Source organism: Homo sapiens, chromosome 9 (genome assembly GCF_000001405.40).
Source record: "Homo sapiens chromosome 9, GRCh38.p14 Primary Assembly".
Taxonomy (NCBI): domain Eukaryota; kingdom Metazoa; phylum Chordata; class Mammalia; order Primates; family Hominidae; genus Homo; species Homo sapiens.
In genome coordinates this window covers 15,210,452-15,228,314 of record NC_000009.12, presented here as the reverse complement: position 1 = coordinate 15,228,314, position 17,863 = coordinate 15,210,452, and the positions used below count along the sequence as shown (strand labels likewise).

Genomic DNA, 17,863 nt, shown 5'->3' with positions numbered 1-17,863 from the left:
TTTTTGTATTTTCAGTAGAGACGGGGTTTCACCATGCTGGCCAGGCTGGTCTCAAACTCCTGACCTCAAGTGATCTGCCTGCCTCAGCCTCCCAAAGTGCTGGGATTACAGGCATGAGCCAGCGTGCCCAGTCCCAATTATTTTAGCACTTTGAAACATATAATATTTACCTGGCACACCAAATTTATGTTTATATCTAGTGTGTTATATATGGCATGTCAAATCATTGGGGGAAAAGATGTGTTTTTTTAAAAACAATCTTGGGAAACATGGCAAAAGATTAGGGAAAAAATTACACAGCACTATCTTGTACCATTTATTTAAATTATAAACGATTAAATATAACATATTAAAAAGTAAAACACAGGTAAAACTATGTTATATAATCTTTGTAGAGGGAAGGTTTTTCTAAGTATGCCCTCAAAATCAGGAATGTTAAAGAAAAGGGTGATAGTTACGACTAAGTAAAAATTTCAATATTGGGGAGACTTTTATTAAAGCTAAAGGCAAATGTGAAAAGGGGATATTTTAACAGTACATTTCAGAGACTGTGTGTTTCTAGCCCTCGAAAATGAGTCTGTAAATGAACAGATGGGCAAGAATGGTCCAAATGGGTAGATAGCCTTTTCAGTCGGTCACTTCCTCTTTCCCTGCTTGTAAACGGAGCTGATGGTCACTGCCCAGAGTCTTATTTATGGAAGTGGTACCTGTATTCTCAGAATAAGAAGTTTTTGTGATGGAAATAACTTGTCTTCTAATGACATTTTCCCTTACCTGTGGAGTTTTCTTCCCTCCCACCACCCACACCTAACCACCCTTGTAAGAACAACTTCAGTTTTCCCCTATGTGATGTGAAAAATTTAGGGAACTTGATATATCCAAGATAAAAATGAATGTCTAGTGTAAAATATTAGAGTGCATTGGGAAGTCTGAACTTCCAATGGGGGAAAAAAACAAAAAACAAAACTCCACTTAATTGAGGACACTGCACTTTTTTTTTTTTTTTGAGATGGAGTTTTGCTCTTGTCGCCCAGGCTGGAGTGCAATGGTGCGATCTTGGCTCACCGCAACCTCCGCCTCCTGGGTTCAAGCGATTCTCCCTGACTCAGCCTCCCGGGTAGCTGGGATTACAGGCATGCGCCACGATACCTGGCTAATTTTTGTATTTTTAGTAGAGACGGAGTTTCACCATGTTGGCCAGGCTGGTCTCGAACTCCTGACCTCGGGTGATCCACCTGCCTCGGCCTCCCAAAGTGCTGAGATTACAGGCGTGAGCCACTGCACCCATTGTACATCTTAGAATTAAAAAACAAAAACAAAAACAAAAAACAACCACAAAAAAACACGCAAAACTTCTCCTCTTTTTTTAATGACTTTACCTCTTTTTTTAATGACTCTAGCTCTTCTCTGTGAAATGTGTACTGTTAAGGTGAGTGGAAATGGAAGGAGATTGGCAATTCTATTGTAATACAGGGCAGGACTTACTCTTAAACTCTTTCTGGAAATTTCCTTCTCTGAGTGGACCTGCCCCCATTGTGTGCCTGTCAGATATCTGTGGGTCAACAAACTGGCCGAAGATTCTGCAAGGCAAATTGGTCCTTACCTTCTTTATGTTACTTCAGCTTTCTGTGGTGTGTATTTAGTGGGAAATTAGACAGTTTATTAAAAATAAAGTACTTTACAAAATAAGTACCATTGCCTTCGGGAATGTATTTTTTGGAAATAATTAGGCAAGTGAGTAAAGGGGCTTATTAACAGTAGTTTGTAATGCCAAAACTTTGGGAGTAACCTACATGCCTGAAAATGAGGGACAGGTAACAAATTATCATTATTTCCAGTCAGCAGCATGTTGCAGATGCTATGATAAAGCAACTCTGGATTTATTGAGAAGAAAAGATTCAGAATAATTCCTATATGTAATCCATTATACTGTATACCATAACCCATTATAATAAGTATCTTTAATAAAGTTTTATTAAAATATGTATAGATTTACTTGGGAAAAAACCTGGACGGATATATACAAGATACAATCCTATCTTTGGGTGGAGACCTGTGGAGTAATTTCAGTTAACTTATTTTTTGTGTACTAGAATGAAAAAATAAAGTTATTAGGGCTGTATTTCAGGAATGTTTGACACATAACAGTAGATTTTTGTTACTTGATTTTTAAAATTGATAAGAAATGGAGGTAAGATGTATAAAAATAATTGGAAGACTTATGTTGTGTAATTGCACTGGTGTAGACTTTTCTCACAGGACAAAGAAATAAAAAACCTTGCTCTGCCTTTTTAATTAACAGATCTTCTCACTCAGATATGGCAACAAGCAGCCTTCACTTTGCATCATGTGATACACAACAGGCGCCCAGACAGCGCGGAGCGTCTACTGTCAGCAGGTCAGGAAGGGTTGTGGGCATTCCTGGGGGAAGAGGGGAGGACAGTCCCACCCTTGAAGGAATATAATACTGATATTTGCATAGTGCATTGCGTTTGACAAACCAATGAGGTCAGGAGAGGCCTAGGCAAGTAGAGTGCCCATTTTATAAATCAGGGAAGGAGATACGGTGGCTGCTCAGGGACTCAGTGAATAGGTGGCACTGTTACATGAAAGCAAAACAAAATTCAACTTTGGGGCACAACTCCCTTTCAAGTCGCTTTTATCTTTAAATATTTTTAGCTATTATTTTTATTATAAAATAATAAATCACACTGCCAAACATTGGGGAAAATGGAGGAAAGGAGAAACAACCATAATGATGATCACTTGAACACAGAATTTTGGTGTATTTCCTTCCAGTCTTTTTCCTAGGCATGTGCTTCTTGATACAGTTGTAACCATAATAGATTTTTTCGTCAAATATTATATTATGATTATTTCTTTCTTACATTTTTTGCATAATCTTGGTTTAAAAATATATTTTAAGAAGTGTTCATTGTAGAAAATTCAGAGCTATAGAAAGCACAAAGAGAATGAAATATGTATTACTATAATCCTGATTATTTTTGTGTGTATTCTTTTTCTCCTCAAATATAGAGATATTAAATTTTTTTCTTAATTGGAATCATATTAAATATACTGTTCAGTAATCTACTTCTTAAAATTTAATATATCGTGATATTTTCCCCTTCCATTAGATATTTTTCTGTGGTATCATACTTGGTTAATTTTTGTTCCTTTCCAGATCATTTTAGAATTAACAGATTCTCTCTTTGAACATGAAGGTTTTTTTTATGAGTTATTAAGGCAGCTCTGTTAAAGCTGTTCTAGTACATGAGAAAGTACTTTTCATCCATCCTTAGAGGTTTATTAAACTTTTAGAATTATACAGCAGATCCTTTACTTAGCATTTTGGATTTTGCATTTGAAATTTCAGCTATGCGTGTGTTCTTTATACTCATGGGTTTGGTAGTTTGTCTTAGGATTCTACCCTCGCAATATATAGAAAAGGTTACAGAATGGAGATAAAGTGAAAATAACTTCTAAGGATCTTAAGGCATTTGTTTTCCATATCCTTTTTTTTACTGTGTGTGTAAAATTCCTGCTCATGGAATTTTGTGTTTTCTTCAAAAAGAAGTGCTCTTCCTTCATAGTTATCCTCTAACTCATTCGATAGTTTCCTAAGTAACTACTGTATCAACATTTATAATGCTGAGTTTGAAAGCTCTAATAAAATAAATAAAAATTACTGAAAGCATTAATAAATAAGGGCATGACACGCACAGGCAGCAACAAGCTGCATCTGTAGACTGGAAGTCTTTAGCATGCACGTAGTTGTTGAAGTGATGAACCACACCTGTATTTCCCAGAGAGCCATAACAAAAGAGAAGAGAATGGAGGAAGGAACCTTTTGGGAACACAGAACATTGAAGCATGGCTGAGACAGTGACCGTTCAAACAAGAGCTACATAGATGTGTGAGAGAGGAAGACTACAAGTTGGTGGCCACAGGACAGGCAAGGGACTTGGGGGAAGGGTGAGTTCTGGAATGCAGTCAGCAGAGCCAGGTGTGGCAAAGAGGTCTTCATGGATACAGGTGGAAAAGTATCCTTTGCATTTCATAGTTAGGTCATTGGAGACCTTTAGCTCATAAGGTTTTAGGGAAGTTGAGGCAGGAGTCAGGCAGCATGGCTAAAGGTCAGTGGGAGGTGGGGAAGTAGGGAGAGTGAGCATCATTTGTTTTCTGAAGCTCTTGCCTGTGAATAGAAGGAGTGGGAGAAGGGTGTGTTAGGAGAGAAAGCAAGATTGAGGGAGTTATCTTTCTTGCTAGTTTTACTTTAAATAGAAATGAATGAGATTTGTGTATATTTCTGAGTCGGGAAGGAGTCAAAGAGAGGAAGAGGTTAAAGTTATATAAAAGAGGAAATGGAGGTGAAATATAAGAAATAATTGAGAAGTGTTTTCATGATAGCACAGGGTGGGCATCCCTAATCCAAAGATCCAAAATACTCTAGTGAGCATTTTTTTTTTTTTTTGAGTGTCATGTGGGTGCTCAAAAAGTTTCAGATTTTGGAGCATTTCAATTTTGGATTTTCAGATTAGGGATGCTCAACCTGTACTCACATTTGCAGTTTTCATAGTCTTTTTCTTTTTAAAAACTAAACAACAGACATTCTCACTCTGCCTTTTAATTGATAGGTCTTCTAATGCATGTGTTGAAGAATAAACATAATGTGAAGCAGCCTAAAATGACACTTGGCAAAGTGGAGGAAGCTTGGATGTGGACAAGAAGTGTGGCTCTTATGGAGTTAGTCTGAACAGAAAATGATAGCGCCATACCTCATATGTTACTCCTCCTGGTACTCCTCATTCCACAACTAGCTATTTGCTTCTTAACACAAAGTTGTGAGGCAGCCAAGGAGAGAGTTTGGGTCACCATTTAACAAGTGAGACACCCCGGATGTCAAGTGACATAGCCAAGTGCAACAGCCAGGCAGTGGTGGAATTACATCTTGATGCTCCACCTTCTAATTTCTGGGCTGGTGCACCTTTAAGAAACTCATTTGCCTCCTTACTTGTAATCCCTTTCACTTGTTTAGTCTTACAGAGTGTTTTGACAACCATGGTTTCTTGCGATTCTCCCTCCAACCTTGAAAGAGCCAAGAGAGAATCTTCCCACAAAAGGATCCTCATATCCAGAGAAGTACATGATCAGCTAAAATGCCTTGTCACTCTCAAATTCTTGGAATTAGAATTTCCTGCCATTGTCCTAAAGGGCACCAGTGACAAACTTTAAGACATTTGACAGTTTTGTGTTCATCACTTCAAATCTGTTTACAAACTAGTTGTTGAAACAACTGTGTTAAGGTCCCTGGAAAAATGAGGAAAGACTCTGCACCCTGGCCAGAGCTTTGTCATCACTTTACTTTCTCCTCTTACCACATCTCTTCATTAGAGGTGGGAGACCTGTTGTTGGCTCATCAAATATGTATTTTTCCATAGGAAATGGGCTGAACACAAGGTTACTCAATTTACAGTCTCTAAGAGAAAGTGTGTCTTTTTTATTTACTTGAGAAAGTCATCAAAACAGAACAGGGGTCTAGGGCCTTAGAATTAAAGGAACGGAGAGAAAACCTTTCATAGACTTCTTTGTAGTTCACTTACCAAGCCTAGATATGTCAGCCCAGTGTGGGTACAGAACTTTGGTAGCTTTAGTTACCAAATCAAGGTTGGCATTGGGAAATCCCAGAATTACACAGGGAGTTCTGGCTGCTCCGGAGACTGAGTTCCAGAGACTGGTTTAGTGGGATGAGTTGTCCAAATGGCTCAATCATGAAGGTTACGGCAAAATGTTGGCCAAGGGCTTTTGAGAGAAGAGGGTGACTCTCCCTTGGATTGGTTAGTAAAGAATGTAGGATAGAGGGAGTTGTTTAATGAGTACAGAGTTTCAGTTTTGCAAGCTGAGAAAGTTCTAAAGATTGAAGTGATGAACCACACCTGTGTGGTTCACACTGTGTGAATATACTTAACACCACCGAGCTGTGTGCTTTAAAATGGTTAAGATGATAATTTTATGCTATGTGTATTTTACCACAATTTAAAAAAAGAATGCAGGACAGATTTCCCAGCTGTTATTACATAAAGTCTAGCTTTTACCTCCTTTGTGTTAGAAGAGTGCCAGGTGTATTTTCCATGCCATTATCACATCTGTACCATTCCCTCTTGGAACGATCCCTCTTAGTTTAACAACTACGACAAAAGAAACCCTTGACTGAGCTCGGGAAAGCTGAGGCAGGTTTTTGGGAATACATCCCACCTTCTGACTGTACTTACGTTACTCTTTCTTGCTTCTTCCGAATTCATTTAGCCTTCACCTAATGATCTGGCTTAGTTGCTTAACCAGAGTAGTTACCAGTGTTTGCCAAGAAGCCATTTCAAAATAAGCTATTTTTATTAGAGACATATTGGGCAATGTAAAAGTGTTACCATATGTAACAATGCAATACTGAAAAGCAACTTATTATAATTGTGCTTATTAACAAATCAGGATAGGAAGAAGGGGCATTAAGGTATAATAATTTAAAGGAATTTATATATCATGTTTTGGTTATGTAGACTAAGTGCTTTTTTAAAAAAATGAACAAAACCCAACTCTTTCTGTTAATTAACAGATCTACTAAAGTAGACATAGCTTGAAGCACTGCGGCACACAGGGGTGGCTCTGGGTCAGAACTCTGCTCTTCTAGGGCCTAGACGCAGAGACCCCTGGCACCCAAGGCCTCAGTTCTGATGCCATTCTCTAACAAAAGAGACCAAGGCTCCTGGCTCATTCCAGCACCAGGGCAGGGAAAGTACAAGATGAACCTAGAAGATCTTGTGCCAGAAAGTAAAGAATTGCTGAAAAAAAGGACAGGGCTTGTCGAAAGAACATGGGAGCAACATAAAGGAGCTTCCAATTGCCAAATCCGGGACAATTTGAGAAAGAAAATAAATAATGACTGTAATGAGTTATATAGCCCACAGAATCAATTAATATGAATGTGTTCATAGTATATAAATAATTGGGTAAACATGTCAGTGGTGGGAGGGAGAGCTCTTCCCTACTCATTCTGACTAATGTAGAAGAAATGATGGGAACGGAAAATTGCTGTTTGACAAACCACAGTGGTAATGGGTACAGACAAGAACACTCAGTGGACACTAAAGTTAGGGGGCAATGTGTGTTGTGAAACGGGGTATCTGCAGAGTCTTGAGAACCTCCCCTGAAGATGCTTAGTGACTCCCAAGGGAACAGTAGTAACCTCACAGTAGACACCACCCTAGCTATGCGGTCATCACCAGATATGTGCATGCAGCTCGTAGCCCTGATATCATGCACTGAGAACTCGGCATCACTGCTGTGGTTTTCTTGCCCAAAATGTCTCTTGTCCAAGTACTAACCAGGCTCGACCTTGCTTAGCTTCCAAAATCAGACAAGATCGGGTGTGTTCAGGGTGATGTGGCTGTAGACTCTTGCCCAAAATGTGTAGCCTGAATCTGATCATGAGGAAACATCAGACAGACCAAAGGGCCATGCTACAAAATAATTGCCAGCACCCTTCAAAAGTGTTATGTAAGATGTTATCTAGGGGAACTGGTTATACAAACTCTGTCCTATTTTTCCAACTTTTTGGAAGCCTGAAATTATTTGGAAATGAAAAGAAAAAAAAAACTCTGCTTCCCCATTTGAGTCTGAAGGATGAGCACCCTATTATTCTTTCTTAGATGTAATATTTATATCATTCCTTTTATTGCATTATGTATTTGCATTTTTACCTTTTACATCTGCATTTTTATCTTTTCTGATGCTCATAACGGCAATGTTAATAATACCTGTTGGGTGGATATTGTCATATCCTCATATACTTTTCATAGCTGAGGAAACAAAGATTTGGAGAGGTTAATGACTTTCTTGGAAGTCTCGCCATCTAACACAGCCCACTGTAGACTATGAGCTTATGGGGTCCCTCCTCTCCCTTGGATAACTAATGAGAAATGGTAGCAGGAGTTTCTGTAGTCTGGCTGTCCAGCCACAGTTGCTTCTGAGATTCTGGACTCCACACAGCTGAATCAATAGACCTGAGACTTCTTGCCATGGAGCTCTTGAGGGCAGGGAGGTCTGGAGTCCACAGGTGCAGGGGACTTGGATTTGGATTGGCTTGCAAAAGAACCCTGGATACTTCCACACAAATTAGTAAAAGTCTCTGAAGAGTAAACTTGTCTGCCCATCATTCTGTGCATACAGATTCTAAGTGTTTAGTTCTCACTTTGGAAAAAAGGTTCCTTTTTGGCCTAAGTTGAAATATTGATGCAAGAGTCAGACGTATGGAGATCAAATTCTCAGCTTCGTTATTCACAAAGACTATGTTGGAGAATGTATTATAGCTTAGATGCGTGGAAAAATGGGCTTCTTTTTGACATAGCTCTGAATGGAATTTCAGCCCTAAAGTGCAGGCCTCCCTTGTGAGGGTCATGGTTGGGCGGTGTGGGGCAGTAGAGCCTGCCCTACTAGCTCACTGCATCGCTGAGAGAATAGACTTTTCTGCACCCTCTTTCCCTGTAAGAAAGGGGCTGGGCCATTTATGCCCTGTGTTTCTTTCCAACTCACCAATCAGATAATTAATTCCTTTCTCAGAGGAGGAATGAAGAGGGGAGGAGGGAGAGGAAAGTCCAGGAGCATTCATCTAGTGAAGTCCCTACTCAGGGAAGTCCGAGGTGTCGGAGATAAGGATGTTCCTTTCCTCAGGGTACAGGGAGGGCACCTCTTGGATGAGGGTCTTGTCACCTGCTTCAGGGGAGAAGGGTGAGGGGATATGATTATTATATATTGGTTTTGTAGACTTTTATTTATTGTAACACAATAAAATCCCTTTTTTACCTTTTAATCAATAGATCTTATGAATCAGATATATTAATAGTAGAAGGTCATCAGATTATGAGCAAAGTGCAGAGAAACTGCCAGGTCACCATGTATGTGTGCATATGTGGTTCTTAGCAGGGGAGTTGGGGCAGGTTGACACTTCTGGAGAATTGTAGTAATGCCTCAATATATATAAATGCTTATACTTTTAATTCCAGGAGCTTCCTCCATCTTTACAACTACTTTTTATAGTAGTAACTGCAGACTTAATGATCCCTATCTTACAGATAAGGAAGCTGAGACTTACAGAGGTAAAGTGAGTTGTTCAAGGTTACAGAACTGGGAAGTGGTAGAGAAAAGACTTTTCCTTTGTTCTTATTTAAAATACTACTTTTATGTTTCAAAATTTTTATAAATCAGTTTTTCATTGTAAAAGTAATGTGAGCAGAGTTCAGATAATTTGGAAAGAGGAGAAAAAAGTCACCAGTTATTTCCCTGTCTAACATAAGCGAGTAAAAATTATGATTGCTAGAGGAAAGAGACAAAACCTCCAGAAAAGTAATAGAAAATGGCCTTGGGAGGCTGCAGCCTAGTTCTCTAGGATCACAGTTTCAGTGGAACCAATATATTGTGGGAAACATTTGACTTCTCTTGAGGCAAAAGGGAGTCAGGAAATGAATAAAAGGATCTGATTCCAGAGCCCAGATGCTCATTTACTATGAAGTTTTTTTTGTAACCAAGCTTATAAAGTAATTACTAAAGTAAGAATTGGAATGTAAGTGATAATGATATAGTATAGTTCCAAATTTTTATAAGTTATGTGTTCATTATATATATATATTTAAAATAGACTAAAAAATTCATCCTGCCTTAACTTAACATATCTTTTAAATTAGAAACATGAGGAGTCGTCACCTCACTGAAGATATATATTATGAAGGGCACTCGGGCATGTCTCTAGCAGGGCAGGAATATGAATATGTGGGCTGAGCACCACAGTTTTTGGAGAGTTAGACATGGTTGTTAACTTGCATAGGGCTTGAAAGTTCACAAAACACACTCATAACAACCATTGCCTTTGCTTCTGCAGACATTGTGAAGTGAGAGCACTTCAAAGATGAGCCTAGGGACTCAGGGAAGTTAAGGGACATTGTGAAGGTCACAAGGCTAGAGAATGGCTTGGCTGACTTCTAATTTCCAGTCCAGGAATCTTTTCATTATTTACATCATGCTATACTTGAGGGGGATGCTATGCTGATGAGCCTCTTGCAAAAAATGCTGGAGTGCTTTTTTTTTTTTTTTTTTTTTGAGACAGAGTCTCGCTCTGTTGCCAGACTGGAATGCAGTGGCGCGATCTCAGCTCACTGCAACCTCCGCAGTGGTTGGGATTACAGGTGTGAGCCACCATGCCCAGCTAATTTTTGTATTTTGAGTAGAGACGGGGTTTCACCATGTTGGCCAGGCTGGTCTGGAGCTCCTGACCTCGTGATCCACCCACCTCGGCCTCCCAAAGTGCTGGGATTACAGGCGTGAGCCACCGCACCTGGCTATACTGGGCTGTTTTTAAATTGCCTTGCTCATCATTCCGGTCTGGTTGGACAGGTATGGTGAGCCAATTTCCAGTTCATGTGGTAGGTGTGGGTAGCTACTTTAGGTTCTTAATCTGAGGAGGCAGAATGATGAGCATCTGTTTTAGGAAGAGAAGAGTAACCTGAGAGTGGTATCCCAGTGTGTCTGATGTGTGCTGGAGTTTGAGAACCATGGAGTCAAAGCAGTAGTAGGAAGGCATTCTTGGAGAGCATTTCAGAATTCAGATCTGAAGTGATGAGAGTCTCAATTAATGTGATGGCAGTGGAAATGAAGAGGAACACGTGTGTCCGAGAGATACTTGACAGAAGTCTTGGCCATGGTGAAAGTTGCTCTCCTGGTCATTCCTTACAGAACCCATGGTAGCCCTAGTGTGCTGGAGAGGGGTGTTAATTCCAGGTGAGCATCATCGTAAACCACTCAGAAGAGCTGAGTTTATGTGCTCGGAGGTGCTGAGCTCCCACTTTGTGTATCTAAGTGGGGGTGTGTATAGTGTATCCTCCCAGGTGACAGTGTGGCCAGCTGAGATGCAGAGGTGGATGTTTGGCAAGAGGACTAGTATCTGTTCACAGTCTGTTTCCTGGTAATGAAGGATGAGGTGTAACCTTAGCGAGAATTGGCAGGAGTTAAAATGGGAACACCTAATATTCGAAGGGAACGGATGTTGAGAAAAAGAGTGAGGATTTCAGAGCTGATGTATTTTCTTTTGTTCAAAGAATAAAATACATCCTCTCTGCCACTATGGTTTCTGGCTTTTGCCTGTTTTCTGTCCTCATTTTCTCTCATTCTCTGCCTTGCTCATCACATTCCCAGTTTAGAATCCCCCCTCTGCCCTCAACCTAGATATTCCCATCGCTGGCTCCATTATACAGCAATTGGATGTCACCTTTTTGGAGAGCTTTTCCTGACCATCCTCAGTAATGTTGGGCCTTCTCCTCACCCCTGCCTCCCACCAAAACTAGGTTCTCTTCCAGACCACTTATCCCAATCAGGGATGACCCTGGTCAGTTCTTGGTCTACTTGTGCAAATCTGTCTTCCCTTCTCCAGTAGAATGAAAGCTCTTTGAGAGCCTGGGTTCCTGTGTGTCTTGTTCATTGCTGTATCGCCAGAACCTAGAAGAGTACCTGGCACATATTTAGCATAAATATTAGTTGAAAGGGCTTTAGGCAAATATTTGATGAGGGGGACAGAGGTAGGCGATGGGGAAAGAAATGGGTCTATAGACCCCAGGCAACACACAGTGACCAACCTGGACTGGACGGTAGAGATGAGACAGGATAAATTCAAGAGATGTTCAGAATGTAACACTGACAAAATTTCGTGATGGACTGTTATAGGAGGTGTCAGGCAACTTTCTTGTGAAAAATCTTGCCGTGAGAGGTTTATGAACTCCTAGCATTCTTACATGATCTCTTCATTCACTGGAAACTTAAGGGCAAAGCAATTCTTAGCCCTCCATCAAGAGCTTGCCTCGGTTCTACTCCATCCTAGAGGAGGTGTCTCAAACTCTAGGCATGAAGAAGTCTCTGTTTCTACTCAGAGCAGTTGTACCCGTCCATCCACCCATTTACCACTCAACATATTTTTTGAGCACGTAATATGTTCTAGGTATTGTCGAAGGCACTGGTGCACAGGAATGACTAAAACAACCTCCTTGCATTTATGTCCTAGAGAGGAAAGACAGACAAGCATGTCTACAAATGCTACATGCACAAGATACTTTTGGATGGTAATAATGGTGGGAGAAAAAACCCTGAGACAGGATGGGATGGGGTCAGCCAGGCTGCTCTGCGTTAGATTAGATCTGAATAACAAGAAGGAGCCTTGAGAAGACCTGCGAGGAGAGAGGGGTTCTGGCCTTGCCTTCATAACCTATTCGTGCTAGAAGAGTCACTGAAGGGGCACTTTGCTTTCATGTTTTAAAGAATGAAATTGAAGAGGTTGGTGGGATGGAAGCTCAACTTCAAATACTTACCAAGTTTATTTATTTTTATTTCATTTTATTTATTTATTTATTTAGTTTTTGAGATAGCGTCTCGTTCTGTTGCCCAGGCTGGAGTGCAGTGGCATGGTCTTGGCTCACTGCAACCTCTGCCTTCCAGGTTCAAGCAATTCTCCTGCCTCAGCCTCCTGAGTAGCTGGGATTATAAAGAATGCACCACCACACCCAGCCTAGCTAATTTTTGTATTTTTAGTAGAGACGGGGTTTCACCATGTTGGCCAGGCTGGTCTCAAACTCCTGACCTCAAATGATCCACCTGCCTCGGCCTCCCAAAGTGCTGGGATTAGAGGCATGAGCCACCGTGCCTGTCTCATTTATTTATTTTTTTTGAGATGGAGTTTCACTCTTGTCGCCCAGGCTGGAGTACAGTGGTGCAATCTTGGCTCATTGCAACCTCCACCTCCTGGGTTCAAGTGATTCTCCTGCCTCAGCCTCCCGAGTAGCTGGGATTACAGGCATGTGCCACCACACCCAGCTAGTTTTGTATTTTTAGTAGAGACGGGGTTTCACCATGTTGGTCAGGGTGGTCTCTCACTCCTGACCTCAAGTGATTCACCTGCCTTGGCCTCCCAAAGTGCTGAGATTACAGGCACTTTGAGCCTGTAATCAGCCACCACACCCAGCCTCATTTTATTTTTTTGAGACAAAGTCTCTATCGCTCAGGCTGGAGTACAGTGGCGTGATCATGGCTCACTACAGCCACAAACTCCTGAGCTCAAGCATCCTCCCACTGCAATGCCTGTAGCTGGGATTACAGGCACACACCACATGCCTGGCTATTTAAAAAAACTTTTTTATAGAGACGAGTGCTCACTCTGTTGCCCAGGCTGGTCTTGAGCTCCCGGCCTCAAGCATTCCTCCTGCCTCAGTCTCCTAAAGTGCCGGGCATGAGCCAAACATGCGTGCTGGTTTATTTCTTATCAGCAGTTTTGTTTGCCAAATCATCCTACTGCTCATTTACTTATTGAAATATTTCCCTTTTGCAAGTCGTTACACAAAACATTTTAGAGATGGCTTTAAAGAACAAAATCTCTGTCAATCATAAGTGATTAATATATAATTTTCAAAAAAGGATAAAATCATGACTCATATAGATACAAAAATGAACATGTTAAGGATTTTATTTAATCACTGATTATTAATTATAGATGAGGACATTTGGCAGATGTTATAACAGGTTCAAAGGAGAAATCAAAACAGAACAAATTTCTGTGAAGTAAAGTACTGTTGAAATTAATATGCAAATTCAGGAAAACTAACTTATTCCACGGTCGGGGAGGGAAGTTAGTTGAACCTCTACTGGCCAGGACAAAATTAACATGCCTATAGACAACAGTTATTTTGCACTGCTATTAGTTACCTACGATTTACAGAGTTGTAATTTCCCTGAGAATCAGAATCTAATTACCTGTAGAGGTCTCCTCTAGAGTCTCAACAGTGCATGGTTTTCCAATGAAGCACATTTTTTTCCTATGTATAACCAGCCTGTCCTGTCTCCAGAATCCACACACAGACACACACACAGACACACACACACAGACACACACACACACACACACACACACACACACTCCCTTCGGACAACTTGCTGATCGTAAAGCTATAGAAATTCTCTGTGCTTTTTTCTTGATCTTTAGTTCATCATCAACCAAGGTGGATCTCAAGAGTGGCCTCGAAGAATGTGCTGTGGCATTGAACTTATTTCTAAGCAACAAATTTACAGACGCCTTAGAATTGCTTCGCCCCTGGTAATTTACTTTGTCTCTTTTAGATAAAATATCTTTCAGATGTTTCTGATGATTCTTTGATGTCATGCTTGTAAATTAATTTAGCTGTTCCCATCTGAATATTGATAAGCTAATTTAGTTCAGACCTCTTTACTTTGGTCACTTTTAAAATTCAATTTAGAAATCTGAGTTTTCAAATATAATTAATAGAAAATTTCTGATTGTTTTGCATATTTTAATCTCTCTTGTTCAGATATTGTCATCTTATAAGTAGTTTTATAAGGCTTCAATTTTGCTTTCTTCAGTGAAATGTTTTTATGTTTGTTCCTTTTAAATATTATTGAGAAAATTTTCCTTTGAAATGGGGAGGGGAAAAACCAGAATATGCTGATCTCAATGCTATTAAGAAATTTAAGATAAGAAGACTATTATTGGGGTTCTCTATTTGTTCGAAAAACAAGCAATTTAATTTCAATTAATAGTACCTGTTAAGTTTTCAGATGTGGCAATAAAACCTGTGCTTGCCTGTTTACTCGGCCTTTGTCTTGACAAGAATAATCGTACATTGTGCCCTCAAACACTTGCTTAGATGAAGCTTAGACCTCATATGATAATTTCCAAGATTACTTGGGCATAAAAGTCGGCAATCTCGTTCCTTACTTTGAGTGGTTACCAGGGTGACTGGACTCTGGTCATGTGAATCTTAGAGATTGATTGACCTGCTGAGGAGCTGCTATGGTAATTGTGTTAAGATTTAGAATAGCTGTAATCAAGATGGGTCAGCTATTGTTTCACAGGTTAAGAACAAATGATGAAATCGATAATGAAGCCCTGTAGTCTAAGGAAATTTTCCAGTGTTGTCTTCAATATTTGCCTCACAATCTCCACCTTGCCTGTCCTCTGCTTTTTTCCTTCTGTCCTCCTCTGTCCCTCAGACTTCTTTGTCTCCTGTCTCTACCTCCTTTTGTCTGCTTGTCTTTCCCTCTCTCAGTCTCTCCTTCTCTTTTCTCAGCCTACTTGCCTGTCTTCTTTGGGTTTTTAAATGCTTTTATTGATGAGCCATAGTTGTACCTATTTTTGGAGTACATGTGATAATTCCTTACCTGTATACAGTGTTCAGTGATCGATCAGGTTAACTGGGTTATCCATCACCTCAAACATTTATCTGTTCTTAGTGTCAGGAACATTTATAATTATTCTCTTCTAGCTATTTTGAAATAATGATAAATTATTGTTAATTATAATTTCTCTATTATTAAATACTAGAAGTTATTGCTTCCATTTAACTGTATTTTTGTATCCATTATCTCCTTTGATTTTTATTCAAACGAGTCTTTCTCTGCCACTGACACACAGCTGGTCATAACATGGAATGAAAATAGGTGATTTAGTGTTGTGTTCAGTCAGGTTAGTCTCCGATTTTTGTACATGTTTCAGTGTTTAAATGGCTCACGCCTGTAATCCCAGCACTTTGGGAGGCCGAGGCAGATGGATCACCTGAGGTCGGGAGTTCGAGACCAGCCTGACCAACAGGGAGAAACCCTGTCTCTACTAAAAATACAAAAAATTAGCCAGGCATGGTGGTGCATGCCTGTAATCCCAGCTACTCGGGAAGCCGAGGCAGGAGAATCACTTGAACCCGGGAGGCGGAGGTTGTGGTGAGCCGAGATTGTGCCATTGTACTTCAGCCTGGGCAACAAGAGCGAAGCTCTGTCTCAAAAAAAATTAAATAAATAAAAATACTTTTCCCTCACTTGAATCATTTTTTTTTTTTTTTTTGCTTCTTGAAAGAGCTTTCAGTTAAAAATGTGAGGTTTGAAACCACAATTAATGATTAACTTTGGGCTGCTCTGATTCCTTGTGGTTCTTTTGAACAGATAGTGCCCTCAATGTTCAGGACAAGCTGCAAATTACCAAAGGATGTTTAGACTATTTCCATGGAGGCAAAGAATAATGTGGCTTGCATTTGTTTTGCATGGCAGCAGGCTGTTATGCATTAATATTTAAATTAAAAACAAAACCATGCATTACCATTTTAAACCTTATAAATAATTAATACAGCTTAAGAAGTTTTGAGAAAATAAATGATGTTCTCATAGCCCGAGAATCTGGATGTCTGCCATCTATTAGGACTAGTTCTAGTTAACATCCTTAAGAATCCTGAAGCAGTTCTCACTGTAACTTGATGATTTGAAATATCAAGAACTTTAATCAGGAACTTCAGATAATGGGATTAGACTAGATACAAGGTCTGACAACTACTTTGGTCATGGCTCTTGTGACCAGCCTAACTTATTCCAAAATCTTGTTTGCTCTTGGCCTTTGGCTGGCGAGGAGAGGGATTATTTTATATAAGCCTTTATTTTTGAAAAAATATATCAGAATCTCTCTGTCAAAAAATACATTTCCAGCGGCCTTTATTTTAGCACTTATTTCAGAGCCAAAGGCCGTGTGCTGCCCCTTTTTCAACAGAAAACAGTTTGCTTGCAATCTGCCTGCAGGCTGCCCTCTTGTGTTGAAATAGGGAAATGCATATTGTCCCCTTCAACCTGGAACATTTTGTTCTGCCTGTGTGGGTTTACATTGGAAAGTCCTTGGTACTTGAGTTTTTAAGAGGTTACTTTTCACCACCCATATAATTTCAGTGATTATGGTGAAGGAATAAAGGTTACTGTGCAAGTCAGGACATGCATTTACTAGGATTTCTTATGATCAGTATTTCCATTGAATTAAAATGTCTGAATTCCCTGTGTTCTTCCCAGGGCTAAGGAGAGTATGTACCATGCCTTGGGCTACAGTACCATTGTGGTGTTGCAGGCTGTCCTGACCTTCGAGCAACAGGACATCCAGAACGGCATTTCTGCCATGAAGGACGCTTTACAAACCTGCCAAAAGTATGACGAGTCATTAAATACTTAAGATGTGACTGCAAACTTTTATGCCTGTGTGACAAAAATAATGTCATTTGCCTGACCAAAAGCTCTGTGTTTGAAATTGGCCACAGTTACAGAAAAGAAATTCAGCCTCGAAGCTGAAGGATTCCCATTTGGCATCTACATATTCCACTTTTCTTTTTGATAGCCTGGGGTCTGAGCTACAGAGATCTGGGGGGGATTTCGGGGGGATTTCAGTGGGATTAGCAGCAAGCATCTCTCAATGTAGATGACATTAGGTACTGCATGCCAAACCAAGCCACACAAGGAACATTCTTGTTTTAAGTGGGAGATGCAAATTCATGAGGGAATGTTTTATTTGTTTAAGAAGGACCTGTTTTTGAACACTTTTGTTTGGTGAAAATGAGATAGATTTTTAGTTTTATTTTAAGCTTTACTTTGTGTGTATAGGAAGACCCTATCAAAATTTTTTTCAAGGGGTAAGTTATTTTGATATCTTTTAAAAAATGATAGGTGTTTCACAGTATGGAAGATGCTTGGTTTGTGGACATTTAGGAATATTCAAGAATCCAGGAATGGCTGGCTGCAGCACCCTGATCAGATGGATGGGAGGAAATGACCCCTGTTGCTGTCAATTGCTTGATGTGCCCCCCATAGGACTAGGGCAGAAGGTTCATGATCAGAAGGTTAACATGGGTGAAATTACATCCTGATGTAATTGTGTTGTAAGCTCCTCAAATGAAGAGAGCTTCCAAATATTGCACTTTAACTTCATTTTTAACCTGTGGAGAATTTTACCACAAATACTGATTTT

At 40.0% G+C, this 17,863-nt stretch overlaps 1 protein-coding gene across 14 annotated transcripts in view; it reads left to right on the top strand.

Moving 5' to 3' along the window:
• The window catches only part of TTC39B (tetratricopeptide repeat domain 39B), a 143,595-nt gene that overhangs the window by 78,902 nt on the left and 46,830 nt on the right, over nt 1-17,863 (top strand). For 11 of the 14 annotated variants that reach the window (XM_047422829.1, NM_001168339.2, NM_152574.3 and 8 more), the window contains 3 exons: nt 2,303-2,398; nt 14,066-14,176; nt 16,918-17,049. In XM_047422829.1, the coding sequence (XP_047278785.1) occupies nt 2,319-2,398; nt 14,066-14,176; nt 16,918-17,049 (323 nt within the window). In that variant the 5' untranslated portion in view covers nt 2,303-2,318. Of the gene's footprint in view, nt 1-2,302; nt 2,399-3,955; nt 3,976-14,065; nt 14,177-16,917; nt 17,050-17,863 lie in introns of those variants that run through there. The other 3 variants (XM_024447425.2, NM_001168342.2, NM_001168341.2) reach the window with 3 other exon arrangements.